Source organism: Homo sapiens, chromosome 14 (genome assembly GCF_000001405.40).
Source record: "Homo sapiens chromosome 14, GRCh38.p14 Primary Assembly".
NCBI classification, from domain to species: domain Eukaryota; kingdom Metazoa; phylum Chordata; class Mammalia; order Primates; family Hominidae; genus Homo; species Homo sapiens.
Genome location: NC_000014.9, coordinates 90,489,589 through 90,517,403, shown reverse-complemented (window position 1 = coordinate 90,517,403; position 27,815 = coordinate 90,489,589). Strand labels below are relative to the sequence as shown.

General features: G+C 52.2%; 2 long non-coding RNA genes across 2 annotated transcripts, besides 6 other annotated features; one reads left to right on the top strand and one right to left on the bottom strand.

The window, feature by feature from the left end:
* Nucleotides 1-194: 194 nt before the first annotated feature.
* Nucleotides 195-1,598, top strand: LOC105370619 (uncharacterized). The gene is made up of 2 exons (NR_135274.1): nucleotides 195-419; nucleotides 1,517-1,598. It is a non-coding gene; the product is annotated as an uncharacterized LOC105370619 (long non-coding RNA).
* Nucleotides 3,445-3,739: an enhancer, noted in NCBI's record as "tiled region #509; HepG2 Activating DNase unmatched - State 1:Tss". NCBI's record gives its function as "activates a minimal TATA promoter and a strong SV40 promoter by Sharpr-MPRA in HepG2 cells {active_cell/tissue: HepG2}" and the evidence as "EXISTENCE:reporter gene assay evidence [ECO:0000049][PMID:27701403]".
* Nucleotides 3,726-4,238: an enhancer, noted in NCBI's record as "H3K4me1 hESC enhancer chr14:90979510-90980022 (GRCh37/hg19 assembly coordinates)". NCBI's record gives its function as "activates a minimal SCP1, AML or CMV promoter by ChIP-STARR-seq in naive H9 embryonic stem cells {active_cell/tissue: H9 hESC(naive)}" and the evidence as "EXISTENCE:reporter gene assay evidence [ECO:0000049][PMID:30033119]".
* Nucleotides 4,457-5,289: an enhancer, noted in NCBI's record as "H3K4me1 hESC enhancer chr14:90978459-90979291 (GRCh37/hg19 assembly coordinates)". NCBI's record gives its function as "activates a minimal SCP1, AML or CMV promoter by ChIP-STARR-seq in primed H9 embryonic stem cells {active_cell/tissue: H9 hESC(primed)}" and the evidence as "EXISTENCE:reporter gene assay evidence [ECO:0000049][PMID:30033119]".
* Nucleotides 6,957-7,790: an enhancer, noted in NCBI's record as "H3K27ac-H3K4me1 hESC enhancer chr14:90975958-90976791 (GRCh37/hg19 assembly coordinates)". NCBI's record gives its function as "activates a minimal SCP1, AML or CMV promoter by ChIP-STARR-seq in primed H9 embryonic stem cells {active_cell/tissue: H9 hESC(primed)}" and the evidence as "EXISTENCE:reporter gene assay evidence [ECO:0000049][PMID:30033119]".
* On the bottom strand, nucleotides 8,935-11,660 carry LOC124903359 (uncharacterized). The gene is made up of 2 exons (XR_007064301.1): nucleotides 11,549-11,660; nucleotides 8,935-9,396 (listed from the first exon to the last, which is right to left on the bottom strand). It is a non-coding gene; the product is annotated as an uncharacterized LOC124903359 (long non-coding RNA).
* Nucleotides 15,666-16,376: an enhancer, noted in NCBI's record as "H3K27ac-H3K4me1 hESC enhancer chr14:90967372-90968082 (GRCh37/hg19 assembly coordinates)". NCBI's record gives its function as "activates a minimal SCP1, AML or CMV promoter by ChIP-STARR-seq in naive H9 embryonic stem cells {active_cell/tissue: H9 hESC(naive)}" and the evidence as "EXISTENCE:reporter gene assay evidence [ECO:0000049][PMID:30033119]".
* Nucleotides 21,132-21,631: an enhancer, noted in NCBI's record as "H3K4me1 hESC enhancer chr14:90962117-90962616 (GRCh37/hg19 assembly coordinates)". NCBI's record gives its function as "activates a minimal SCP1, AML or CMV promoter by ChIP-STARR-seq in primed H9 embryonic stem cells {active_cell/tissue: H9 hESC(primed)}" and the evidence as "EXISTENCE:reporter gene assay evidence [ECO:0000049][PMID:30033119]".

Sequence of the window (27,815 nt, the reverse complement as noted above, 5' to 3'; positions counted from 1 at the left end):
GCTGAGCCTGTGTGGGGTGCTGGGGACATGGAGACCCTGTCCCTGAGGAGTGTTCAGCCCTGGAGAGGGGCTGATGGCCATGCAGGTCACCATGGAGCTGAAGTTCTCAAATGGGGGTAATTGTGTCTCCCAGGGACCATTTGGCAATGTCACAATTGCCAAGGGATACTGCTGGCATCTAGTGGGTAGAAGCCGGGGCACTGCTAAAAATCCCACCATACACAGGACAGCTCCCCACCACGTGGACCTATCCAGCCTCCAAATATTAACAGGGCGTCTTGGGACCACCAGCGTGCTGCCAGGGAGCCAACTTCTGCCTGGTCAGCTAACTCCACCGTCCCAGAGCCTGGGGAATAGCGAGGAGCGGCTGGAGACTGGCGCATGAGATCACCTCTCATGGCGCGACGCTGCCTGATCAGGTAACTGCGCTGACTCATCAGGCTGCCATCCCGTGGCCCTGGAGAGTGGCTTGTGGTCTTTGGCTCTGGGGTAGTGAGAGCCTGCTGGCCCTGGGAGGGTCCAGCCCTTTTCTTAGGCTCTTCAAGTCCCAGCACACACATGGGGACTGGCTCTCTTCTCAGGGTGGCCGAGGCCCTGCTGGACTTGGAGAGATACAAGCCCTAAACAGGGGGCTTTCTTCATACTCAAGCATCCAGCTGCCTTCTCTGGCCTATCTCTCTCAGAAAATGGACAGGAGGCTCCCGCCTGTGTCCCTGCTCCAAGACTTTCCTGCCCAGAGCACTGAGGCCCAAATGAGAACAACCAAAATAGGGCAGAGGCCAGATCAGAGTCCACATCTTATCTTACTTTTTTGAACTCCCCTGCACCTTCCAGATAAAACCTCCATCTGCCCTTCCAATGATGTGACTTTGCTTCAACTTGCTTTTCAATTTTCTTCTTTGAGACGGAGTCTTCCTTTGTCGCCCAGGCTGGAGTGCAGTGGCGCAATCTTGGCTCACTGCAACCTCCGCCTCCTGAGTTCAAGCAATTCTCCTTCCTCAGCCTCCTGAGTAGCTAGGATTACAGGCATGTGCCACCACACCCAGCTAATTTTTGTATTTTTGGTAGAGATAGGGTTTCACTATATTGGCCAGGCTGGTCTCGAACTCCTGACCTTGTGATCTGCCCACCTCAGCCTCCCAAAGTGCTGGGATTACAGGCGTGAGCCACCACGCCCAGCCAACTTGCTTTTCTAACTGCCCCCCTTGTCCCTCTCAAAGCCCTGGACTCTTCAAAGTCCCTGCCCTCCTGCCACATAGCCCACCTCCCACCCCATCAACACTGACTCTGCCTCCCCCACCTCGTCCCCACTGACAAGCCCAAATTTCACTGTTCCCTCTTTGGTCACTTCTGCCTCAGCGCTTCCGTTCAGCACTTACTGCATTTGAAATTCAAACAAAAGAAAATGGCTTTAGGAAACTTTTTTTTTAACCAAAAAAAAAAAACTTCTTGTACTTTTTAAAAACCAGAAAAGTGTAGAGAAGAAAACAAAAGCCTTAAAATGCTTCATTCCTAGAAAGCCGCCGCTAACAGCTGGAGAACATCCCTGCCCGTGTCTCAGCGCAAATACACACCAATAAATCCATGTTTCCAACTCCACAGAAGCCGGATCTCTTTGGCGTGGCTGCTTGTTCATCCATCAATGTGACATGGAGAACCTTCCGTGTCAATACAAACACCCGTGCGCTCGCTGACCCAGTTGTGGGAACGTATTCCATGGGATCCACAGATTCTAATCGAATTCTTTAGTTCCCAGTTAAAGGACTTTAGATGATTTCCAACTTTTTATTTTAACAAACAAGACAAGATTGTCCAATGTATACTTTGAACCAATGGTGATCATAAAAATAATAACTACAGTGCATGAAATACCAGTTACACGCCTGGCATCCCTCGAAGCACTTTATACACAGTAACTCATTTACTCCTCCCAACAAACCTGCAAGGCGGGTACTGTTAGTGCCCATTTTACAGACAGGTAAAGTGAGGCATGGAGTTTATGCTAGAGGTCAAAAGTTAGTAAGGGGTGGCTGGGCGTGGTGGCTCATGCCTGTAATCCCAGCACTTTGGGAGGCCAAGGTGGGCAGATCACAAGATCAGGAGATCGAGACCATCCTGGGTAACACGGTGAAATCCTGTCTCTACTAAAAATACAAAAAATTAGCCGGGCGTGGTGGCGGGCGCCTGTAGTCCCAGCTACTCGGGAGGCTGAGGCAGGAGAATGGCGTGAACCCGGGAGGCAGAGCTTGCAGTGAGCTGAGATCGCGCCACTGCACTCGGGCCTGGGTGATAGAGCCAGACTCCATCTCAAAAAAAAAAAAAAAAAAGTTAGTAAGGGGCAGAGCCTTCATAACCAACTTGCCCATGCTGGGGGAAATGTTTCTAATCTTTTTAATAATCTAATGGGGGGGTGCAGAAAATCTGAATGTTGCTTTTATTTTCATTTTTGTTACTCATCAGGTTGATTTCTATTTTTTGTTTTTTTCTAAGTGTTGATAAGCATTCATTTTCTTTTTTAAGAGATGGAGTCTCCCTCTGTCACCCAGGCTAGAGTGCAGTGGCACCTGCAACCTCGAACTCCTGGGCTCAAGTGGTCCTCCTGCCTCAGCAGCCTGAGTAGCCAAGACTGCAGGCACACACTGCCATGCCCAACTCACTTATTTCCGTTTTTATTAAAAAATTTTTTTTTTGTAGAGATGTGGTCTCACTGTGTTGCCCAGGCTGGTCTTGAACTCCTGATCTCACGTGATCCTCCCACCTCGGCCTCCCAAATAGCTGGAATTACAGGCATGAGCCACTGTGTCCAGTCTTAATTCTTTCATGAGTTACTTCTTAGCCATGTCTTTTTCTCATTTTTCAACTGAGGCCTTCACAGTTTATTGATGAATTATAGTGCTTCATACACCGTGGAACTAGCCCTTTGTTTTAGAGAGGGAGGCCCTCTAGGCAGGGATTGCACCATCCTCACCCCATTTCCCCAGCCTGGCATGGAGTCGGCTGCCAGTACCTGGGGTTCCAGGAGGCGTGACACCTCATCATTCAAAAGGGGGCTCTGGAAGCTCCTAGCGCTTGACAGGGGCCCGACCGATTTATCATCAACTCTAATGTCTGGTCTGCCCGCTTGGCCCAATAATAACTCCCTCTGTTTGCTCAGAGCTTGTAAAGTTTAGAATGAACGTCCTCACACACTCATCTGATTTGATGCGCACGCAGCCAGGTGAGCCAGGCGTGATGCATGAGCCCCTTGTTAGAAATGAAGAGACTGGGACTCGTAACACAGAACACGCCAAAGCGCCCATGGCCGAGACTGACGTCCAACTCAGGGCTTCTTGGTCTAAGGCTCACCCGCTCCATCTCTGAGTGACAAACTCAAATCAGGGGCCTCTCAGAACCCCAGTTTGCTGGTCAGAAGAATGGGGTGGAATTTTCTGCCTGCAGAGGACAGGGCCCTCTAAAGGCCTGGCTCCCTGACACGCCTGGAGACTGGCACACAGCAGTCCTTGCACCCGCCCCGTTCCCCACCCAGTCAGGCCAGGGCTGTGGGCCAGGCCAGCCTGCCTCTCAGAGAGCTCCCAGCTGGGGCTGAGCTCAGGGAGGGAGCCAAGGGAGCAGCGAGCAGCGAGCAGCGGGCGGCACAAGGGCCCCTTTGTGCCTGTTGCTAAGGGCCCGGCTGTATTTACTCACCTTCAGTAAACAGGAGGTGCTGGAGGCCCCGCTCTGTTATGACAACTTAAAGAGCATTTTCTTTCCTTCCTCAGCTGCTCATGCCCCAGGTAGCTCCAGGTGAGTCCCCACAGTGGAGGGGCTTCCCTGGGGCTGAGCTGGAGCTGAGTGGCAGGGCTAGGGAGCATCAGAAGGGTCACTTGGCTCAGCTCTTGAGGCTCTGATGGGGACGCTGACACTGGAGGGGGTCCCTGGCCCAAGGTCACAGGGGAGGGTCAGGCCAACATAGGCCTGACAGCTGCGGTCTGTCCTCTGCACAGAGCTGATTTGGGAAGCGTCCACCTGTCCCTCACACACTGGTTGTCAGCGTTTGGCTAAGTCCCCAGGCCATTCCCCGGGGAGGTTAGAGGGAGGCTGCCCAGCTCACCTCCACCCAGAATTTTCTGGAACCAGGCCCTTGGAGGCAGAGAACAACTTGAGTCATGGTCATTTTTTAAGGGTCTTAATGTCTTACCGACACATGGAGATCACGTTATAAGAATCATAATATTGTTTGTAATGCTTATGGTGAACAAATTACCACTTTCAGCCCCCACTGGGGCAATAGCCTAGTGGTAGCTACCAAGTAGATACAGGATTTATTTCCGACACATCCAGGTTTAGGAGCCATAGGAGGTGCGTCCAGTGATGGGACCCTCCCTGGTGGCTGTGAAACAAACTTCCTCTGGCCCTGCAGACATCGTGGTTGTGCCTGAGTCTGTAACCTCCTTTGGAGAGAATGTCAAAGGCTTATGTTTGAGGCCCTTAGTGTGCAAGAAGGCTCCTGTGACAGGCCCAGCCCAAGGCAGCCGGCAGCCAGGTCTCCTGCGTGACCTTTAGCCAGTGCTCACCCCCTCTGACTCCCTTCCTCCAAGGGAGGGGTGAGCTGTGCTGGGGCTCTGCCTCTCCCCACACTGAGGGCTTGGAAGGGCTGGGGTGGAGGCATTTCTGGACTGGAAAGTGATCTCCAAGAATCCCTATGACCCCTGGGCAGGTGCCTGGGGGCTTCCAAAAGGCGGGAAGCTTCTCCTGCTGGAGTCCCACCCTCTCCTCCTGCCGCACACAAGGGCTCTGTGTACTTTGGTGTGGCCTGGACTGCAGGCAGGGAATCCTTTGGGGGAACCGAGCTGCTGTGTGGATTTCCTCCACGGTGGGGGCAGCCCATCCTGGGGAGGCCTCCTTGCCCCAGGGCCACCTCGTCCTGGCAAACAACCCACAGCTCAGGGTTCGGCCTGGGGTGGCTGTGATCCTGGCCCAGTGTTCTTTAAAAGAGTCAGCTCTGGCTGCCAGCCTGGCAGGGGAAGGTCAGGGGCACGCAAGAGCACACAGGCTGCCTCACCTGGGTTGGCGTGGCTGGGTTTGCCCCCAGAGGAAGCTCACCCTGCAGTCTGGGGCTCCCACCGGGCCCTGCATCTACCCCTCAGCACATTGCTCTGGCAGAATCAAATCGTGTCAGTGGGAGCTTCTGAGTGAGCCTCAGACAGATGGTGAACAGCAAGGAGGGGGCAGGGCCCTGTGGGGCTGAGCCCTCCCCCAGGCCCAGCCCTGGGCCCCCAGAGCTGGCCTTATTGTCCTCATTTACAGATGAATAATCTGAAGCTCACAAGGCCCCAGGAAGCATGGGGACAACATAGGGGACAGTGCTGTGTCTGGAGATGGGCCTGGAGCAACTGTGTGTCCCATCCCTGGCAGCTGCCTCTCAGAAGGAAGCCGAGAGCCCCACGTGGCCATCCATCGGCCACATGACATCAAGCACGTTACTCGACCTCTCTGGGCCTCAGGGTTCATAAATAGTACCCACCTTATGGGGTTGCGGCAGTTAGTGAATTCATACTTTTTAAGCACTTAGCATAGTGCCAGAAATAATCATTACATACGTTTCTCAAATAAAACAAATATACTGTAACGGGATGATGACAATGAGAATGGCGACCATTACAGGACGAAACTGTCTTGGAGAAAGCAAAACAGCTCAAGCCTGCAGACCTCAGAGAGTTCTTCTGCTAAGGTGCCTCTAGGGTGCCTGGATTCTGGGAGAGGGGTCACTGCCTAAGGTGATCTGGGCTGGACTGGTCCCTGGGCCACTGTCTGGGAGTTCTCTGAAGGCCAGGTGGCTCACAGCCTTCCTCCTTGGCCTTCCCTGATCTCTGCCCAGCCTGGCAACTCACTTCAAGGTGCTGTTAAGACCCTTTTCTCCTGGGCACTCAGCCCTGCTGCAGGTGTGACGTCAAAAATTGATCAGCCTCTGCTAATCTGACCCAGGTGGGGTTCTCTGTGTATGGCTCTGTGCTGGGCACAGGTGCTTGCAGGGGACACAGTGGAAGGTCCGGCCATCAAGGTGCCAAAAGGGTGAAGGGCACACTGATCCGAACATGCGTCACCCTGGATTTCTTTTTCTCTTTTCTTTTCTTTTCTCTCTCTCTCTCTCTCTTCTTTCTTCCTTTATTTATTTTTTTTTTTTTTGAGACAGAGTCTTGCTCTGTCACCCAGGTTGGAGTGCAGTGGTGCGATCTTGACTCACTGCAACCTCCGCCTCCCAGGTTCAAGCAATTCTCCTGCCTCAGCCTCCTAAGTAGCTGGGATTACAGGTGTGCGCCCCTACGCCCAGCTAATTTTTATATTGTTAATAGAGACGGTGTTTCACTGTGTTGACTAGGCTGGTCTTGAACTCCTGACCTCAGGTGATCCACCAGCCTCAGCCTCCCAAAGTGCTAGCCGGGAGCAGGGGCTCACGCCTGTAACCCTGTCGGACTTCTGTGTGGGAGGGCAGGCGGCAGGAATTATGGACCCAGGAACAGGACAGACCAAATCAAAGTGGCCTCAGAGAGGCAACATGGCTCAGCTCAGAGCCAGGCAGGAGTGTACAGTGCCCCAGGGCTTATACTACTGTCCCTGTGTCAGAGGTGACAAAGCTGGAGCTCAAAGAGGTAAAGGGACTTGCCCAAGGCCACAAAGCTAGTAAGGGGCAGAGCAGCACCTCGCAAGCCTCTGGGGGTTCATGTTGCTTCCAGGGGCCAAACCTTGATTCATTCTGAGCCTGATTCAAAAGCCAGATTTTGATACCCCTTCTTTTCCTGGGCCCTCCTTTCTGTTTTGTTTGGGGAGAAGTGGACAGGAATGAAGGGGGAGTCAGCGGGAGTCTGCCCAGGCAGAGGGGAAGAGCTCACTCTGATTTGCATGACCAAGAAGGCGGGCACAGGGGGAGCTGGCTCTGAGGCCCTGGCTCCTGGGTTTCTTCCAGCAAAACAGTGATGGGGGCAGGGATGAGGTGTGTGCTGGCTCACGTGAGTGACACATTGGGAGCAGAGCAGCATCGTCTAACGAGAACAACTGGGCTGTGCGCCACCAAAGGTGAGGCGGGGTGGAGGGGGCGGTAGAGCTGGGTGAGCCACCAGAGATGGGAACACAGGGCCACTCGTGCCTTGCCTGGCTGTCTGACTGTGTCACATGCAATAATGACAGTCACTGTTTGTTGTCTGCTACTATGTGCCAAGCACCAGGCAAAGCACCTTCTACATGTTACCTCCTCGATCCTCACAACAGCCCCAGGAGGGGTGCTATTATCCCCCTTTCAGAGTAGGAAACTGAGGCTCAGGGAGGTGAAGAGATATGGCCTTGGTCACAAAGCTGGGGTGCAAACCTGGGTTGGCCCTGGAGCCTGGGCTTTGAGCCCCAGCCCCGCCCTGCCTCTCTGCACCTCTGTCATGGCTCCTGAAGGATGTGGGTGCTGGCCGGGCACAGTGGCTCACTCCTGTAATCCCAGCACTTTGGGAGGTTGAGGCAGGTGGATCACCTGACGTCAGGAGTTCAAGGCCAGCCTGGGCAACATGGAAACCCCGTCTCTAAAACAAAAATTAGCCAGGCGTGGTGGTGGGCACCTATAATCCCAGCTACTCGGGAGACTGAGGCAGGAGAATAGCTTGAACCCAGGAGGCAGAGGTTGCCGTGAGCCGATATCACACCAAAAAAAAAACAGAATGTGAGTGGAGGAGCTTGCCCCAACCTGTGGCCAGAGGGCATTGGAAGGAAGCAGAAGCCTCCGGGTGGTCATGGACGGTAACATCAATTGGCCCAGACTTTCAGGAAAATACCAGTGCCAGGCTCTTGGGGCATCATGATGCTGGGACCAGCTGCACCACATCCTGAATGGGCGTGGGGGTGGGATTCAGGGGAGAGCTGAGTGGAGTGGCTGCTGTCAGTCATCTTGGAAAGAAGGTCCATGAAAGAGGAGTGTCTGGGGTCCAGGAGGGAGAAAGGACTTTCTGCTCTCTCTGGGCTCATGTTTCCCTTCAGAGGCCTGAAGTGGTCGTGATGGTGGGTGAGTTTTCCCAGGTCTCATGGAGGCAGCTGGGAATTAAAGACAAAACCGTGCCTCAGTTTCCCCCTCTTGGTGGTGGAGGTGGCAGCAGGAGCCCAGAGTGGGCAACAGTTTCTAGGACAGCCAGTATTGAGGACTGGTGTATTCGGTGGCACTGGTTAAGGCAGGGTAAGGAGGACTTCGCTCAGGACCGTCATGATAGGTATAGGGGCCACTGCACCAGGGTCTTGCTGAGGGAGAGAACTGGCTCAACCTCAAAGACCAGCCCGGCAGGTGGGGATTTATAGCAGAGGAGGCAGAACGGGTGTCGGCGGATGGAAAATCACTGAGAGGAAACATCTGACAAAACCGCCCGAACAGGATTCTTGCTGCAGGCAGGGTGATCGGACAGTGCCCGGGGGTGGCGGAGAATGAGGAACCCCGTTCGTTCAGGTCTCCACGGTGATCAGCGATCTAGGATGGGGGGTCTGCCTAAACTGACTTCACAGGTTCTTTTGCTAAAACTGGGTTTTACAAGGAAGTGCCCAGACGGGTGTAGCAGAAGATTCAGAAGCCTGACTAAAGTTTGGCCAAGCAAGGAATCTTCATCAGGATCATGACTAAGGGGGCCTCCGCCTCCGTGCAGGTGGCATCTGCTCTGGCCACCCTAAGGAGGGAAGCACCTTAAGAAGAGAGGTGTCCCCACGCACCCCAAAGCCTGGGAACATCTGCAGAGGTCAACTCCCAGGAGAAGGAGTCTCAGCAGATGCTAGAGGAGAGAGCAGAATACCCCCTGCCACCAGGAGAAGCTTCCAGAGAACACCAGAGGAAGGCAGGGCCCGGAAAATGCACAGAAGCAGGAGTGCATACTCTGAGGGGGAAGGTATGAAAAGTGAGGTCTCAGAACAGTGAGGTAGGAACACTGGAGGCACCAATGACACATCAGCATTTTTTGTTCATTGTTCTTTAGGTAAAATATCACCCCCAACAAGATTTTGTTACTATGTCCCACAGTCCTGGGGGTTGGCTGGTTCTCTCTGGGAGCCTCTCCTGCCATCACGGCGGCTGGGGCCAGAGTTGTTCTGAAGATGTCTTCATGCCCATGTCTGGCGGCTGAGCCTCAGCTGGGGCAGTTGGCTGGAGCATCCACGTGCAGCCTCTGTGTGGCTTCGGCTTCCTCACACCATGGTGCCAGCCTTCCTTCATTCTAAGGAACTGGGCAGAACCGGTGTTGTCTTTCATGACCCAGTCTCGGAAGTCACATAAATTTACCTCTGACATAGTCAGAGTCCTGCCAAAACTCAAGGGAAGGGAACAAAGACTCCACTTCTCAAAGGGACGGGTATTGGCGCCATGCTGTAAGAAGCACAGTGGCTTGGGAGGTATTGTGGTCAGCTCTGGAAAAGACAACCGCCATATTAGTAAATATTTATTGCAAACCTACTGTGAGCCAGGCACTAAACACTGGGAATCCAGACGTGAACCACAGACACCAGTCCCTGCCTCATGGAGCTGACATTCTAGTAGGGGAAGCCAGACCATCGAGCAAATAAATAAATGCAATGGCGCGTTAAGTGGAGGTGAGCGCTAAGGAGAACAAGCAGTCAAGGACCAGGGCAGGCAGGGAGAGGGCTGAGTGACAAGAGGGTCCTCTCCCCACATGTCTGGTCCCCTCTGCGGTGACGTCTGGGGATGAGACTCCAGGAGAGGGATAGCCTGAGCAGAGGCACTGAGGTGGGGGATGTCAGGGGCTTGGGCCACAACTCAGAAGCAGCAGAGCTGGAGTTGAGAGAGGGAGGAGAGTGCGAGGTGAGGGCGGTCAGGCAGTGGGGCCAGGACGGGCAGGTGGTCAGCCTTAGCGGGGACTTTGGCCTCTGCCTTGAGCAAAGCAGGGACTGTGGAGAGTTTTGAGCAGGAACAGAGAACCTCTCTCACTCTAAGAGCAGGACTGGATGTATAAGAACAGTTCTCCCCCACCACCATGGCCCACGTTAACCTATGTAACATGTAACAAACCTGCACATCCTGCACATGTACCCCGGAACTTAAAATAAAAATAATTTTTTTTAAAAAAAAGAACAATTCTCCCCAACCCCCAGCCTCTGCTTGCATGCCTCTAAGAATATGGGACTCACCCCTTCATTGCTTATCGGGTCTTTCTTGTCGTGAATGAACATAAGTCTCTTTGCTACGTCCCCCGCATTACAGTTGGGCTCTGGGGCCATTGAATGGATCTGTCACCATCCCTTGGTGTTTTAGGGGTGGATGCCTAACTCTCTGAGTCTTCACACTAAACCAATCCCACCCAGTTCTTTCCTCAGTCCATATACACGCGCCACTACCTCTTGAACGCTCACCATTTTGGTCATTTATATGTGTCCTTTTTCTAAACCAGGGGGTGGCGAACTACAGCCCAAAGGCCAAATCTGGCCCACCACTTCTTTGTGCAAATAAAGTTTTATTGGAACACAGCCACACCCATTCATTTACTGTTGTGCTTGGCCGCTTTTGTGCTATACTGGCAGAGTAGTTGAGTTACTACAGTGGAGACTGTATGACTCGCAAAGTTTAAAATATTTACCCTCTGGCCCTTTACAGAGGAAGTTTTCTGATGCTCTCCTAAATGTGTGTGCCTTAAGTTTCACCCCAATCACTCAGCTGCTGCTGAAAGCAGATTGGAAGGGGCAAGGAGGCCTATCAGAAGGCCAGGCTCTTAAAGATGAGCAGTAATAATCCCAAAGTATAATACTTTCACACATTTGCTATAAATTTGTGCAATTCAAATATTAATTCAGGCTGAGCACAGTGGCTCACGCCTGTAAATCCCAGTGTTTTGGGAGACCTAGGCACAAGGATTGCTTGAGCCCAGGAGCTTGAGACCAGCCTGGGCAATGTAGCCAGATCCTCTGTGTAAAAAAAAAAATTTTTTTTTTTTGGAGATTGAGTCTCACTCTGTCACCCAGGCTGGAGTGCGGTGACGCAATCTCAGCTCACTGCAACCTCTGCCTCCTGGGTTCAAGTGATTCTCCTGCCTCAGCCTCCTGAGTAGCTGGGATTACAGGCACGTACCACCATGCCCGGCTAATTTTGGTATTTTTAGTAGAGACAGGGTTTCACCATGTTGGTCAGGCTGGTCTCCCACTCCTGACCTCGTGATCCACCTGCCTCGGCCTTCCAAAGTGCTGGGATTACAGGCATGAGCTACCGTGCCTGGCCCAAAACAATTTTTTAAAAATTAGCCAAGCGTGGTGGTGTGCACCTGTAGTCCCAGCTACTCAGGGGGCTGAGGCAAGAGGATCGCTTGAACCCAGGAGTTGGAGGCTGTGGTGAGCTATGATCACGCCACTGAACTTTAGCCTGGAGCAAGACCCCGTGTCAATAAACAAATAAATAATAAAAAGATGAATTTATACAAACACATGTTTTAAAATTAGACTTTATGCCTAGTTCTCCATAAAGATTTCTATGACACGTCTCTGCTTGCGTAAATACATATTGCTGTGTGTTTTCGTGAATGACCACCCCAACACAGAAGGCCTGGAATCTTACCTTCAATCCTTCCGTTCCGCCTGTCGAACACCAGCTAGGAACAGAGCAGGGGGGCATCCTCAGGTGCAATTAAAAACCGCAGATTTTTAACTCTGAAAAATAACAACATTAAAAACCGCAGTGGGTGCAAGGCCCACAAAGGGCTGAGTGTCTGAGGCCTGGCGGCAGGGATTGGCCAACTCTGCACAAGAGAAGGCAAGAAAACCCAACCCCGCATGGCAGGGCCGGCCTCCCTGGGAAACTTGGACTTGCCCCCGACTTTCCGAAGCAGAGGTTTGCTCAGTCTCTGTGGTCGTGAAGCATGGAAGGCAATCTCTGAATTGTTTTCCAGAAAGAAACGGAGAAAACAAAAACTAAGTTGCAGTTTGAAAATATCTGCTTTGTTTTACTTAAAGAAAACAGGCAGCAGGACTCACATACTTAGATGGAGAGGCTAAAACAGGGAAGTCTTTTTTTTTTTTTTTTTTTTTTTTTTGAGATGGAGTTTTGTTCTTTTTGCCCAGGCTGGAGTGCAATGGCACGATCTTGGCTCACTGCAACCTCCACCTTCCGGGTTCAAGCGATTCTCCTGCCTCAGCCTCCCGAGTAGCTGGGATTACAGGCATGTGCCACCATGCCCGGCTAATTTTTGTATTTTTAGTAGAGATGGGGTTTCTCTATTTTAGTCAGGCTGGTGTCAAACTCCCGACCTCAGGTGATCCGCCTGCCTGGGCCTCCCAAAATGCTGGGATTACAGGCATGAGCCATTGTGCCTGGCCAAACAGGGAAGTCTTTACCTCTCTTCGATGGAAACTTCCAGAATCTGTATCCCTCGGTCACTAAACTGTGTGGCCTCTTCTGACCTCTCTTGCCTTTGGTTCTGGGTCCGTGTCTGTGTAATAGAAACTCCAGGCCCCCCCGCTTGACCCCCACCCAGGGCTGCTGGAAGGCTCGCTGAGAGGGTGAAGGTGGAAGTTCCAGGGGAAGTGACTGCCAGGTGTCCCAGCGTGGGGACTGTGCATGGAAGGACATTGGAGAAGGGAGTGGCTGGGATCCCAGGCATGGATCTTCTGGGTCATGGCCGCCCACCTGGGATGCAGAGATGCGGGGCAGTGTGTGGATACCACAGGTGTGCAAGCATCTTCTGGAAACTTGATTAGTGAAGTTGGTGTGTGAGGAGCTGAGAAAAAGAGCAGGGGGCCGGGAACGGTTGGCTCATGCCTGTAATCTCAGCGCTTTGGGAGACCAAGGTGGGAGAATTGCTTGAGCCCAGAAGTTGGAGACCACCCTGGGCGACATAGTGCGATCCTGTCTCTATGAAAAATGTAAAAATTAGCCAAGCATGATGCTGCATGCCTGTAGACCCAGCTACTTGGGAGGCTGAGATAGGAGGATTGCTTAAGACCAGTAATTTGAGACTGCACTCAGCTATGATGGTGCCACTGCACTCTAGCCTGGGTGACAGAGCAAGACTCTGTCTCTAAAATAAATAAATAGGCCAGGTATAGTGGCTCATGCCTGCAATCCCAGCACTTTGGGAGGCTGAGGTGGGCAGATCACCTGAGGTCAGGAGTTCGAGACCAGCTTGGCCAACACGGTGAAACACCGCCTCTACTAAAAACATAAAAATCAGCCGGGTGTGGTGGCGTGTGCTTGTAGTTCCAGCTACTTAGGAGGCTGAGGCATGAGAATGGCTTGAACCCTGGAAGCAGAGGTTGCAGTGAGCCAAGATCGTGCCATTGCACTCCAGCCTGGGTGGCAGAGCAAGACTGTGTCTCAAATAAAATAAAATAAAATAAATACATCGATAGACAGATATAGATAAATAGATAAAAAAGAAAGAGAGCAGAAAGTGCTACCAGGAGAGGAGAGGGCTGGGGACACCATAGAGGCTCAGCTATTGGACCTTCACCATGGGGGAGGAGGTGAGGGCACCAGGGACCAAGGGCACAGACTCCTCCACACCCAGGCCCTGTTCTGGGTTCAATGAGGGCAGCCTGACCTGCCTGCTCACCTCCCCCAAGGGTTCCCTGGGCACCCAGACCAATGCTGCCCAACATTTTCTGTGTCATGGCCCTGGCAGGGTGCCTGGGTGCTGGCACTGGGCCAGATCTCTTCTTCCTGCTCCAGAATGTGCCCAGGGTCACATTCGGTATGGAAAGGCAGCCGCCCCTGCCCAGGCCTCCCCAGCCTCAACCCTTGGTTGAGGTCATTTCCCTTTCTCATGCGTTCCATGAAAAATCTCTCCCTAGGTTAGCGGTCAGGCAGACCTTGCTCTGAACGAACCTCCTGGGAGAGATGGGAAGTGGAAAGCAGAATGCAGAGCTCTGGGTGGAGTTAGCTGAGCTGAGCTCGTTAGGTATCGCAGGACCCGGACATGACCTCGACAGGCTGAGCCCATGTCCTCTGAAACCACCTTGAATCTATTAGGCTAACTGGCCTCTAGCATTCTAGTTTTCCTTAATAACCACAAATAGATTACTTGTTTATTGACTAAAGTCAAAATATACAAGATAAATGTAGCAGATCTGGCAATGGAGGCCGGCTGCAGGGGCCACCTGGGAGTTCCAGACTGCCTTCTGAGGGAGCTGACCAGCTGAAGGGGCATAAGAACTCTCACGTCTAGCCATGAATCCAGGCATCCAGCCATTAATTCACCCATCCTTCCATTCTTCCTTCTCTAACCTCTTACATTGTTCCTTTCAGCCTTTCATTCTTCCATCAGTCCATCCAAACATCCATCCATCATTTCATCCTTTATTTCCTTTCATCCTTCCATTAATTTATCTCACTATTAATAGAATCCAACTATCCAACTAATAGAATCCAGCTATTCTTTTATCTATTCACCCTTTTCCCTTCCTTCCTTTCTTTCATTTTTCCATCCTTCCTTCCCTCCATTCTAATGGTCAATCTTTCCCTCCATTCATCCTTGCATCCTTTATCCTTCTATCCTTCCACTCAATATCTATCCTCCTTTCCTCCCATTCAACTATCCTTTCTTTCTTTCATACTCTTTCCATATATATCCATTCAACCATCCATCCATCTTTCCTTTTCCTCACTTCCATCCATCCATCATTCAATCTAGCCAATCATTCTTCCTTTCCTCCTTCCATTGGTCCACCCGTCCTTTCTACCCATCATACATTCATTGATTACATATTTATGAGTACCTGCTTGAACTGGATACTAGTTATATTTAAATATTTACATTTTATGCATGTCCAAATTTTTCAATCTGAATAAACCATAAGCCTATTCTAGAAACATCTCATAGGGAAGAAAGACTTCAAATACTTAAGGTACAACTTGAGAAATGCAATATAATAGATGTGTTTCCAAGAAGTAATGCAAGTTAGGGTGGAGTCGCCAGCCCTCAGGTGGTCATAATGGGTTCCCGAGGTGCTCTTGGGGGAGGTGGGAAATGAATGTTTATCATGCAGATAAGGAAGGCATTCCAGGCTGAAGGAAGGGAATGGGCAAAGGCACAGAGGCATGGGAGAGCAGGGAGGTGATGAAGAGCACGTTGTGTGCTAACAGGACAGAGGGTGGAGAGGAGGGGGCTGGAGAGGAGAGCCAGAGCCCAGTCTCTGTGAGCCACGTGAAGAATTTGGACTTTGTCCTGAGGACAAGGGGAGCCCTAGAAGAAAGGCCCCCCTGGCTGGGAGGGGAGGAAGGAATGTTCAGGGCTGAGGAATGTGACTGTAGGCAGGGGGAAGGTCACCCTGGGAGGTAAGAGAGGAGATGACTTGCACTGGTGAAGGTGCTGGAGCTCAGAGGGAGAGTGAGCAGAGTGGAGAGTGGTGTGGGTGGCAGCAGGAGCAAGTGATGGGCAGGAAGAGGGCGGTGGTACTGAGGGGGGTCCTGCGGGTGGCCAGGGGTGATGATGCTGGAGCTGGGAACATGAAAGAGAAGCAGGGGTCAGAGGGCAGGGTGAGTCTAGGCTCAGCTAAGGAGAGTCTGGGGCCTGGGGGCACCCCGGAAGAGTGGGCACACAGATCTGTAGCACTGGCTTTTGCTGCTTGTTAGCTCCCCTGGTCTCCAGTACTGACCAAGGCTAGGCAGGCTAGGCATTCATTCATTCATTCATTCATTCTTTCTTTCTTTCTTTCTTTTTTTTTTTTTTTTTTTTTTGAGACGGAGTCTCGCTCTGTCGCCCAGGCTGGAATGCAATGGCGAAATCTTGACTCACTGCAACCTCCACCTCCTGGGTTCAAGTGATTCTTCTGCCTCAGCCTCCCAAGTAGCTGGGACTACAGGTGCCCACCACCACATCTCATTTTTTTTTTTTTTTTTTGTATTTTTAGTAGAGACAGGGTTTCACCATTGGCCAGGCTGGTCTTGAACTCCTGACTTCAAGTGATCTGCCTCCCTCGGCCTCCCAAAGTTCTGGGATTACAGGCATGAGCCACTGCGTCTGGCCCATTCATTCTTTCATTTACTTGACAAACACTTTCTGAACACCATGTACCTGACTCCACTGTAGGCCCTGGATACACAGCAAACAGGTCACCAGCATCCCTGTCTTCCTGGGACCTGCATCCTGGTGACAGCAAGTCCTGCTGGACAGTTCCGGAGCCTGAGACTTACAGAGGTGCAGTGGCCTACACAGGGATGCGCAGTCAGCAGGTGGACAGTCGGGAGCAGCCGCCAAGGCCCCTGGGGCTGCAGGGCCGGGAAGTGGAACTGAGTGGGGACTCTTGATAGCCAGAGGAAGCTCCGGGCTGTGCATGCTGCTGGGTGACTCAGCAAATGGCTTTTCTGCTGCAGCCCCGGACTGAATGCCGAAGCAAGAGGGGACTGTGAGGGACCCAAAGGGACAGCCAGGTGTCTGTGGCCGAAGCTTCCACTGCCCTTCCGGACGTGGTTGTTCTCCCTCTTCCGGCCGGAACCTGCCTCCTCTCTCCTCCCCAGTCCCCCAGTCCTGCTGTCTCCTCTGCTTCCGGCTGCAGCTTAGGTTCCAACCACACCCTCACTCGATTCCTTGGCCACTGGTCGTCTGCTGAGTGAGAGCTGGGTCTCTGGCTGAGTTTGCCCTGGGCCGGCAGTGGGGTCTGAGATGTGTTATTTGGCCACTCTGAGCTGCCTCCATGTCCTTCTCCATAAAGCAGAGCCGCCTGGGCTTACGGACTGGACCAGGCTTTTGAGCTGAGGTGGACCTGCCAGGGTTTGCTCAGGTGAGCAGGAGCTGAGGCCAGTCCTGCACCAGGCCCCCACTGTGCTCACATTCCCTGAGCCCACCATGTCTGGAGTCTTTCCAAGCGTGATCCAGGCAGGCATGAGCCCACTTAATCTTCAACAAGTCAACAAAGCAGGTCCTGTTACCAACCCCTTGTCTGTAGACTAGGAAAGTGAAGCACAGAGGAGTTCAGTACCTTGCCCAATGTCACACAGCTCCAGTCTCTGCGGCATCAATACTGGGCTATGTCCCCTCGCAAGATTCTGCCCCGGGCACTACCTTTTAAAGAAGGGCAGGACCACTGGCTATGGGAGAGGGGCTGGCAGGAGCTGGACATGCTCAGTATGAAGACGAGATGGCTTGCGGACCTGGGGGCTGGAGGGGAATTCTTGGAATTCCTTTCCCCATCTCTTCCTCTTGGGTTAACTCTTGACCATCTCTTAGCACTTAACTCAAGGGTCTCCTTCCCCACCAGCACCCTCCTGGATGCTTGCAGGGTCCAGGTGATTATCTCGTTGCATCTAGCACTTTCTCTGCACCAGGCACTGGGCGAAGCATTTGATGCATTATCTCTTGGAATCCTCATGGCTTCTCTGTCTGTACGTGGCTTGGCCGGGCAGGGGTCTCTGGTAGCAGTAGCAGAAGCCCCTGGGGCCAGCTTAAGAGAAAGGGGGCATTTGTTGGGAAGCCCTGGATGTGTTGGGGACCCCTGGTCTCACCAAGTATTCCAGACAGGCACTGGGAACTTCCTATCTCCTCTCTGCCTCTCATTCTCTGAGGCTGCAACATTTCTCCTTGTGTGTTTCTCCTTGTGGCCCTGAGGCCTGTGGGACAGAAGTCCCTTTGGTGTAGGAAGAACGCCTCAGTCAGGGATGTCCAGCCACACAAATAAACTAATAGATTCCAACTATTATTTTATTTATTCACCTTTCCTTGCTTCCTTTCTTTCATTTTTCCATCCTTCCTTCCCTCCAGTCTAATGCCCATTCTATCCATCCATCCATCCATCCAACCCTCCATCCATCCACTCTTTATCCTTCTATCCTTCCACTCAGTATCTATCCTTCTTTCAGCTGCCTGGGAAGACAGTGGTGACCCACCCTGGATGCACGTAGTCAGTGATGCAAATGTGGTGGAGGAGAATGTCCCAGCTCTGACGGGCCTTGGGTTCAGGTGGCCTTCTAAGGGCGGGTCCCATTTGAGCCACTCTGGGCTGTGAAATCCAGAATCCTGTTTCCAAATCCCTCCTCAGTGTCTCCCTGGGATGTCCAGTGGGCACCTCAGACAACACATCCAAATCCAACTCCCATTCTGTCCCGCAGGCTGCCCTTTCTGCAGTCTCCCCATCTCTGGGGATGGCAACTCCATGCTTCCAGTAGCTCAGGCCAAGACTTCCAAGTCATCCTTCAATCCCCTCTGTCTTCCATTCTGATCCATCCACACATCCTGCTGTCCCTACCCTCGGAATCTATCCCAAGTCTGACTGGTCTCTCCACGGCCCTGGCCGTCATCCTGGTCCAAGCCGTCACCTCTCATCTGGGTAACTGCTAGAGCCTCCTAACCAATCCCCTTTCCTCCACAATCCATTCTCGCCACAAGAGCCCTTTAAATCTAAGTCAGATCATGTTCTTCCTCTGCTCTAACCCTGCTGTGACGTTGAGCAGAAGCCAGTCTGTATGAGGGCTCCCCATGGCTTGGTCCCCTTGCCCCCTCACTTCCTTCCAACCACGCCTCCTGTGCTGGGTCCTCCTCCACACCAGCCACATTCCCCTCCTCTGGCCTTTGCACTGGCTGTCCCCTCTGCCTGAAGCCCTGTTCCCCCACATCTGCATGACCAAGCCCCTCAGCCCCTTTGAGTCTTTGCTCAGGGGTCGCTTTCTCAGTGAGGCCCACTCTGACCTCTGTTTAAAAAATTGCAGCCCCCTGACCCCCAAACACATTACCCAAGCCCATCCCCGCACTCCCCACCCCCTTACCCTGCTAAGCTTTTTTTGTTTTTCCCAGAGCACTAACCACTTTGAATGTGCTATATAATTTAAATTACCGTGTTCATTATTATCTGTCTGCACCCACTAGGATATGAGCTGTCTGGGGGCATTAACTTTACTTCTGCTGACCAATGCATCCTAATCACTTCCAGTATCCTAATCACCTCCAGCTTCCTAATGTCAGCTCCAGCATCCTAACCACCTCCAGCATTCTAATATCACCTCCAGCATCCTAACCACCTCCAGCATTCTAATATCACCTCCAGCATCCTAACCACCTCCAGCATCCTAACCACCTCCAGCATCTTAATATCAGCTCCAGCATCCTAATATCACCTCCAGCACCCTAATATCACCTCCAGCATCCTAACCACCTCTAGCATTCTAATATCACCTCCAGCATCTTAACCACCTCCAGCATCCTAACCACCTCCAGCATCCTAATATCAGCTCCAGCATCCTAATATCACCTCCAGCATCCTAATATCACCTCCAGCATCCTGATCACCTTCAGCATCTTAATCATCTTGTGACTGATACAGTATAGTTGCTCAATTGGTAAATACAGTGGTGAGGGAGGGGCTGCAAGTCAGGAGCCAGGGGCCTGGGGATGCCCCTTGCAGCTGGTCGGGGCAGAGGTCCCCCCACACCTGGCTTGGGGGTCCAGGCAGACTCAGCCCATTCCCTCTTTCCCTCTTCCCCACTCCATGTAGAGAAGGTCATAACCTGGAGGGGCACTGGTTCTGAGCTGTATCCATGGAGGGCTCAGGAGGGCTAAAAACCAACTTTGTTCATATAATTCCAGAGGTCACTTGTTTTTCAGGGGGAGAATGTTTTCCTTTTTTCCCACAGCGTTTATCAATTTCTAACATACCACACCATACATTTACTTACTTATTAAGTTTCTTTCTCACTCTGTTGCACAGGCTGGAGTGCAGTGGTGCAACCACAGCTCACTGAAACCTTGACCTTCCAAGGCTCAGGTGATCCTCCTGTCTCAGCCTCCCAAGTAGCTGAAACAGCAGGCATGTGCCACCTTGCCTGGCTAAATTTTGTATTTTTAGTAGAGATGGGGTTTCGCCATATTGCCCAGGCTAGTCTCAAACTCCTGGGCTCAAGCGATCCACCTGCCTAGACCTCCCAATGTGCTGGGATTACAGGCATGAGAAAACATGCCTGGCCTTATTATAAGTTTCTAAATGTATTATTTACCATTCGTCAGATTATCAAAGGGCTTCTGATTTTAAAAAGTAGAGAACTAGCTGGGAGGCCAAGGCAGGAGGATTGCTTGAGGCTAGGAGTTTGAGGCCAGCCTGGGCAACATAGCAAGATCCTGTCTCTATATAAAAAAAGTTTTAATTAGCCGGGTGTGGTGGTGTGTGCCTGTAGTCCCAGTTACTCAGGAGGCTGACGCAGAAGGACTGCTTGAGCCTAGGAACTGGAGGCTGCAGTTATCTATGAAGACATCACTGCACTCCAGCCTGGGTGACAGTGTGAGACCCCATCTCTAAAAGAAAAAAAGATGCCAAGTGCAGTGGCTCACACCTGTAATCCCAGCACTTTAGGAGGCCGAGGCGGGCAGATCACGAGGTCAGGAGATCGAGACCATCCTGGCTAACACGGTGAAACACCATCTCTACTAAAAATACAAAAAACTTAGCCGGACTTGGTGGTGGGTGCCTGTAGTCCTAGCTACTGGGGAGGCTGAGGCAGGAGAATGGCATGAACCCCCGAGGTGGAGCTTGCAGTGAGCCGAGATCATGCCACTGCACTCCAGCCTGGGTGACAGAGCGAGACTCTGTCTCAAAAAAAAAAAAAAGGAAAAAAGACCAGGCGAGGCGTGGTGGCTCATACCTGTAATCCCAACAATTTGTGTGTTTTTTTAAATTATCATTACAATATTACAATAACTAGAGATTTATTAAACCAACAAGTCATTCTTCTTACAAAATTACAGTTAATATGGGGTAGGGGGCAGTGATGGGGTTGGGAGGTGGGACCACTGCACCTAGGAGAGATGGCTTTGCTAAGGAGGGCCTGGGGTGCCTGAGTCCACCTAGCCTAGATAGGGGAGGGGAGGATGAGGAGGCAGAGGGTGCGCAGCAGGAGCAGGGTGGGGGATGGCAGGCTGAGCCAGGGGATGGTTTGGAACCAGCAGAATAGAGAAGACCAGGAGGCAAGACGGGAGGGCCTGGCTCCCCAGAGCTGGGAGCATAACATGTGGGGTGTGGAGGGGAGCAGAAGGGAAAGAAGGGGGGAAGGGGACAGGAGGAAAGGGGAGGGGAGGAGAGGGGAGGGGAGGGGAGGAGAGAGGGGCCACAGGCTACAGGAGCAGTGGTGCCTCAGAGCTGCCAACTCTGCCAGGAAGGGCTGTGGGTTCTGCTGGTGGTCTTGGTGCACTGGGCCTGGGGATAAACACTTCTCTTCCAGGAAGAGAAGAGGGGGAACCCTTCTCTCCTGGAGGGGGTCCAGGAGTTTGGATTGGGGGACATTCTTTCTGCTTTTCCCCCAACCTGCCCCTTCTTTGACAGGGGCTTTCATCTGGCCGGAGTGGGGTCTGTGTGGAGGCCTCAGCTGGACTCTGGTCAGGGTTGGATCAGGACTCTTCTTGCTGAGGGTTGGGAGACAAGGAGCCCTACCACAGATCCCACTGCAGCAGCTCATCCCCTGGGCCTGTTCCCTGGGCTGCTGAATCCCAGCACTTTGGGAGGCTGAGGTGGGCGGATCGCTTGAGTCCTGGAGTTCCAGACCAGTCTGACCAACATGGTAAAATCCCGACTCTACAAAAAATACAAAAACTAGCCAGGCATGGTGGTGCATGCCTGTAGTCCCAGATACTTGGGAGGCTAAGGCAGGAGGATCACTGCAGCCCGGGAGGTCGAAGCTGCAGTGAGCCATGTTCACACCACTGCACTCCAGTCTGGGTAACAAAGACCTTAGAGAACCACTTGTCTCCATCATCCCACTGTTTTCCTTGTGCCCAGCAGGGTTCCTGGGCTCCCAGGCCTAAGTGTGACTCACCAGGCTCCCCTTGGGTCTGTGACTACAGCCTTCATGCAGTTTGAGAGCTGACAGTTGATTCCCCAGACTTAGCTGGCCCCCGGACTCTCCCTCCTTGGCCCCCAGCCTGGTGGTTTCCGCACCCCCAGACCCTGTCCTTCGTCTCCTCAGGCTTTAACCCGAGCGGGGCCCTTTAGGTAATTAGCAAGAGCAAAATGGTGCCTGTAAGATCACTGTGGTGCTCTCCATGGTCCTGAACCTCACTAGTCCCTGCTCAGGGTGAGTGAGGTGGTTTCTTAGCAAAGCAGTTGGCGGGGGAAGGGGGGATTGTGTGGTCCCAGAGGCTCCTCTCCCTCCCCCGTCCCTTTCCATGTCATACTTTTACTTCTCCACTTCCTGGAATTCTAAACCTGCTTTTCTGGCTTACATTAAGCCATCTTATCTTTGAGGTCATAGCTGAGTTGTCAGCTTCTCGGGAAAGTCTTCTTGGACTCTGCAGAACTGAGGTAGGTGTCCTCCTTCGTGTTCGGGCAGCATCCTATATGTCCCACATTCCAGTGTGCAGTGACCACCTTTTGGGTCCTATCAGTCAATTGTAAGCTCTCAGTTCGTTTCCCTCACTCTTGTGTCCCCAGCATATAGATAATGACATTAAATTTTGGTTGAACAGAAAAATGAATTCATGAATGAAATGAATCTGTGGTGGATGGTCTAGGGGAAAGAATTCTCTCACAATCTGTGCCTACCCTTTGATTAAGCCAGGGCTATTCTGGTAGCCTTTGTGTCGGAAACACAGAAGAGAACAAGAGCACAGTCCTTGCCCAAAGGAGTATATGACCTGGTGGAGGAATTATAGTGGCTGATAATCTGAGCTCCATTTTACAGATTTGGAGACTGAGGCTGAGGGAGTGATGTGATTCTTCTATGATTACATAGTTCAGGAGTGACAGAGATGGAACTGGGCTCTGGACACTGTAGCCATCCCCTGCCTGTGCCATCACTTCCCATCTCTAGATCAAACTGATGCTCCTGTGTAATGAAGACATCTCTAGGGAAATGTCCCAACACCAATTTCCATGAAAAATTAGAACCCATGGGTTTAGTCTGTATTTTGGGGGCCACAGCTTCTGGGGCCACTGAGATGGCACAAGAGAAAGCCCTTGGCACCCAGTGAGTAGTTTCATTGTCCAAGTTTTATCATCAGAAACAAGGTGGGAGGCCCCTTCTTTCCAATAACTGGATTCTTGGCAAGAACCACAAGGACATGTCACACTCCCAAAATGTCTGAGCAGTTGAGTCCCATGGGAAGTTTGTGGTAGGCATGATATGGCCCAGTCTGGCCTCAGTCTGATCCATGGCCAGAGCTCCTGGGACGACCCACATCCCATCCCAATATGGGCCTGTGGGTCCTGCAGGAAATTCCATTGATGTCATCTTGGGAACCTTCACCTGCAGGGTTCTGAGGGATGCAGACAGTAGGCCCTGCACTAGTGACAGTGTTCAGCTTATGAAACTGTCCCACATATCCATCACATGACCATATAAGATCCTGAAGAGTCCCGTGTCTCTGGGGTAGGCAAAGCCTGGATTCTGTGGGGCTTTGATGATCAAAAATGGGCTATTGTGTGTGTCGTTACTCAATATAGCTGTTTGCTTAAGAGACAGCCAGGGTGGTGGTTCATGCCTAGAATCCCAGCACTTTGGGAGGCCGAGGCAGGTGGATTACTTGAACCCAGGAGTTCAAGACCAGCCTGAGCAACATGGCAAAACCCCATCTCTACAAAAATATGAAAAAGTAGCCAGTTGTGGTGGTGTGCGCCTGTGATCCCAGCTACTCGGGAGGCTGAGACTGGAAGATTCCCTGAGTCCAGGAGGTCGAGGCTATAGTGAGCCATGATCGTGCCACTGCACTCCAGCCTGGGCAACAGAGTGAGTCCCTCACTCAAGAAGAAACAGAGAAAGAGAAGTTTTGAAAACATGGTATCTTAGTTCATTCAGACTACTATAGTAAACTATCATAAACTAAGTGGTTTATAAACAACAGAAATTCTGGAGGCTGGAAAGTCCAAAATCAAGGTGCTGGCAGCTCTGGTGTCTGGTGAGGGCCTGTTTCCTGGCTCACAGATAACTGTCTTCTTGCTGTGTCTTCACATGGTGGAAGAGGTAAGGGAGCTCTTCAGTGCCTCTTTTATAAGAGTACTGATCCCATTCATGAGGGTCTGGCCTGATGACCTAATCACCTCCCCAAGGCTCCCACCTCCTAATACCATCACAATGGGGATTAGACGACAACATATAAACTTCCGGGCAACATGAAACATTCAGACCATAGCACATGGGATACATAAAAGAAAAATAACACAGAAGGAGTTGGGTGGGCAGAAGGCAGGAGAGAGCTGGTTAAGGACCTACCAGCCTTAAAGGGAGGCCGTTGGCCTCTGCTGGAAGCAAACTTCAGGACCAACGTTCAGCCTGCTGAGGAGGAGGAAAAAGAGGAGGGGAAACAAATAGGGGCCCCCAGGACCCTGGCAGGGAGGTTGCTAAAGGCTGGCTTGGCTGGGAGCAGTGGCTCACACCTGTAATCCCAGCACTTTGGGAGGCTGAGGTGGGTGGATCACGAGGTCAGGAGATCAATACCATCCTGGCCAACATGCTGAAACCTCGTCTCTACTAAAAATACAAAAATTGACTGGGCGCGGTGGCTCACGCCTGTAATCCCAGCACTTTGGGAGGCCGAGGCGGGCAGATCATGAGGTCAGGAGATTGAGACCACAGTGAAACCTCGTCTCTACTAAAAAATACAAAAAATTAGCTGGGCGCAGTGGCGGGTGCCTGTAGTCCCAGCTACTCGAGAGGCTGAGGCAGGAGAATAGCGTGAACCTGGGAGGCGGAGCTTGCAGTGAGCCGAGATTGCGCCACTGCACTCCAGCCTGGGCGACAGAGCAAGACTCCGTCTCAAAAAAAAAAAAAAAAAATTAGCTGGGCGTGGTGGCCTGCGCCTGTAGTCCCAGCTACTCAGGAGGCTGAGGCAGGAGAATCACTTGAACCCAGGAGGCAGAGGCTGCAGTGAGCTGAGATCATGCCACTGCACTCCAGCCTGGGCGACAGAGTGAGATTCTGTCTCAAAAAAAAAAAAAAAAAAATGGCTGGCTTGTGCCCTTCCACTTAGTCTGAGAGCTGGGGCTGCTGAGAGTGGAGCAAACTCAGCACCCCCACAAATTGACTGTCTGAGTCAGCTCAGGACGCTGTAACTCATTACTGTGCACAAGGCAGCTTCGACAATAAGTATGGATTTATTGCAGCTCTAAAGTCTGCAAGATCAGAGTACCAGCATGGTCGGGCTGCGGAGGGCCTTCTCCCTGGTTGCAGGCACCCTCGCGTGGTAGAGGGATCATCTCTCCTGTCTCTTCTCACAACAGCACTAATTCCACTGTGAGGGCTCCTCCCTCATGCCCTAATCACCCCCAAAGGCCCCACCCCAAATACCATCACACTAGTGCCTGGGGCTTCTGCATGTGAATTGTAGAGGGACACAAGCATTCACTCCTTCGCACCCACCCACCACTGTGTCTGGGAGAGAAGAGGAAGGCAGTGTCCAGCTTCCTGGAGTCCCTTTGTCTTCTGCATCTCCCTGGCTCCAGCAGCTGGCCTGCTTTCTGGGACTGGTCTGCCATGTGGCTAGTCCCCTGTCTGCGATGTTTCCGGGTGCTCCGTGCCCACCTGATCACAGCTGAGCCCAGGAGGGAGACCCCAGGGGGTCTGTGCAGCTTTGGACAAGCCACCGATCCTCTCTGGCCCAGTGCCCCATCCGTAAAATGGGACTGGCTAGATATTCTCTGGGAGCCCCCAGCACCAGATATGCCGAAGCTCCCATCCTAGATTCTATGGGGGCAGGGCTGGGTCTTGCAGACAGGCCGTGCTGGCCCCAAATCCTGGCAGCATCCGGAGCTGGCCGCCCACGCACAGGCAGGCGGGGGGAGGCAGGGTGCTGCAGCCTTGTTGCCAAGAGCACAGAGAACTTTCCACTGGGTCCAGGTTTTCATCACCATGGCAACTGCTGGGGGGTGGAAGCAGAATTTCTCAGCATTCCAGAGAGAGATTATATGGGGGAAGAAAGAACAAGAAAGTCAGACCTGAGCCAGGCCTGAGAGGTCAAGGCCAACACCCCAGGGAGACCCATTTCCTCTCTGGCCTCTTCACACCCTTCTCCCCTCCTTCTTCTTCTTTTAACGTTTCTCTCTGCCCCCTGTCTTCTCTACATCCCTCTTTCCTGGCTCCCTTCCCTGAGCCCCTGCTTACAGGAGGTGTCTAATCCACATGTGCCGTGTGCCAGGCACAGGTTCATGCGCTTCACAAGTGGGGACTCATTGAATTCCCCTGCTCTGTGTAGGAGGCACTATGATCACTCCCATTTCACTGATGAAAAAATGGAGGCTCAGGGAGGTTAGGTGACTTGCCTGACTCACAGTAGATGGTGGACTTGGGAGTTTGATGGGACTCCAATGACTGCACCCTCAGTTACAAGGTATTTGGATGGTCTCTGTTGTCTGAGAAACTCAGGGGCCCCCAGTGAAATGCAGGTGAGGGTGGGAGGCAGAAAAGAGGCACAGGTGGCCCATACTCTGGAGACCCCGTTGGGCCTCCGCACTCTCTCTTCCTTCTGTCTACACCCCATACTGACAATCCTGGTTTGGGCCAGGGCAGAGGATGAGGCTGGCAGCCCATTCCTCCCGAAACACTGCTTTGGGGCTGATTCCCTGGCCTTAGCCGACCAAAGCACTCTCATTCAGGCTCAGGAAAGACTCCCCAGTTTAGGGATGGCACTGGAAAGTCCAGGGGGCCTAGAGACCTAGGTACCACTCCCAGCACTCACACATTCCCCAGAGATGCCCTGTAGAGAGAGAACCTGGCCCAAGAAGCCTGGCTTACGCCACACCATAATCCTGCAAGAAAATTCTTCAGAATTTCAGGCTTCAATGCCCTCCTTGCTGCCTCTCCAGTGAAGGCGAGGGGCAGATGGGAGGCCACATATAAGGATAGCAACTCAGCCATGCCAGTCACTTGGCATGGCCTTCATGGCTGGCCACTCGCCAGCTTCTAAAGACCAGAACAAACTGGGGACTGGGAAAGTCCTGCTTCACTTCTGGGGACAGAGAACCTTCCATTCATGGCTTTAAACATGGCTTAGTCCTCGCCAGGCTGGCTCTGCCTGCGCCTCACTCTCTCCTGGCTTCTGTATCCTGCAGCACAAGCTCCTCCACTCACTGCCTTCAGTGTGATTTTTGTCTTCTGCTCCTTCTACAGATTGCCCCACATTTCTTCCAAATCTCTCGCTCAAATCTCCGGCTCAAATCTCCAAGACAGAGATCCAGCCTGGACCTCTTATTTATTGGTATTGTGATTGGGCAGAACTCCCCCTCCAGGCCATCTCATTGGCTGCTTGCAGGCTGCTGATTGGCTGCCCTGGGACTGGGGCTTCCCTCTGGTCCAATCAGCTATCACCAGGGAGGTGGCGTCCTCCTCCCTGGTGATACCTAATGTTACTGAATGTTGTTGCTAAGATCATAGATGCAGTTTTTCGTTGTTTAAGCCAGTCATTGTTGCTAATCCTTTGACCTGAACAGCCACCCCCTCACTACTTGGAGTCATGACATAAGCCTCTGGCAAAGAGTCAGTTGCTTCTCTGCTTCCATATGACAGTTAAGTTGGGGTTTCTGTTATTTGCAACCAAAGCCTCATGGCTGACACCCATTTCATAGGTTTATGGCAAGATTGAATGAGTTGGGACCTGTTTCAGGCTTAGCCATGACCTCACAGAGCTGAGATGAGGGGATCCAGAATAGTGCCCCAGGAAACCTGGAGGTTCCACTCCCACTCAACAGCCTCCTTCCAACGGCCAGCAAAAAGTGACCGGAGAGGCTTGTGTTTCATCTGTAGTCGTTGGTGGCTGCTCCGTGGTCCCAGGATGCCTATGCTGGAAAGGACCAGAGGAATTAATTCATCCTACTGCCTACTACCATTTGGACCAGAGGGGAACCCCAAGGCACAAACCAGGCTCTGAGAGCCCAGCTCTGGGCCAGGCCTCCCACCCGAAGAGCCAGCTTTCCATCACCCATAT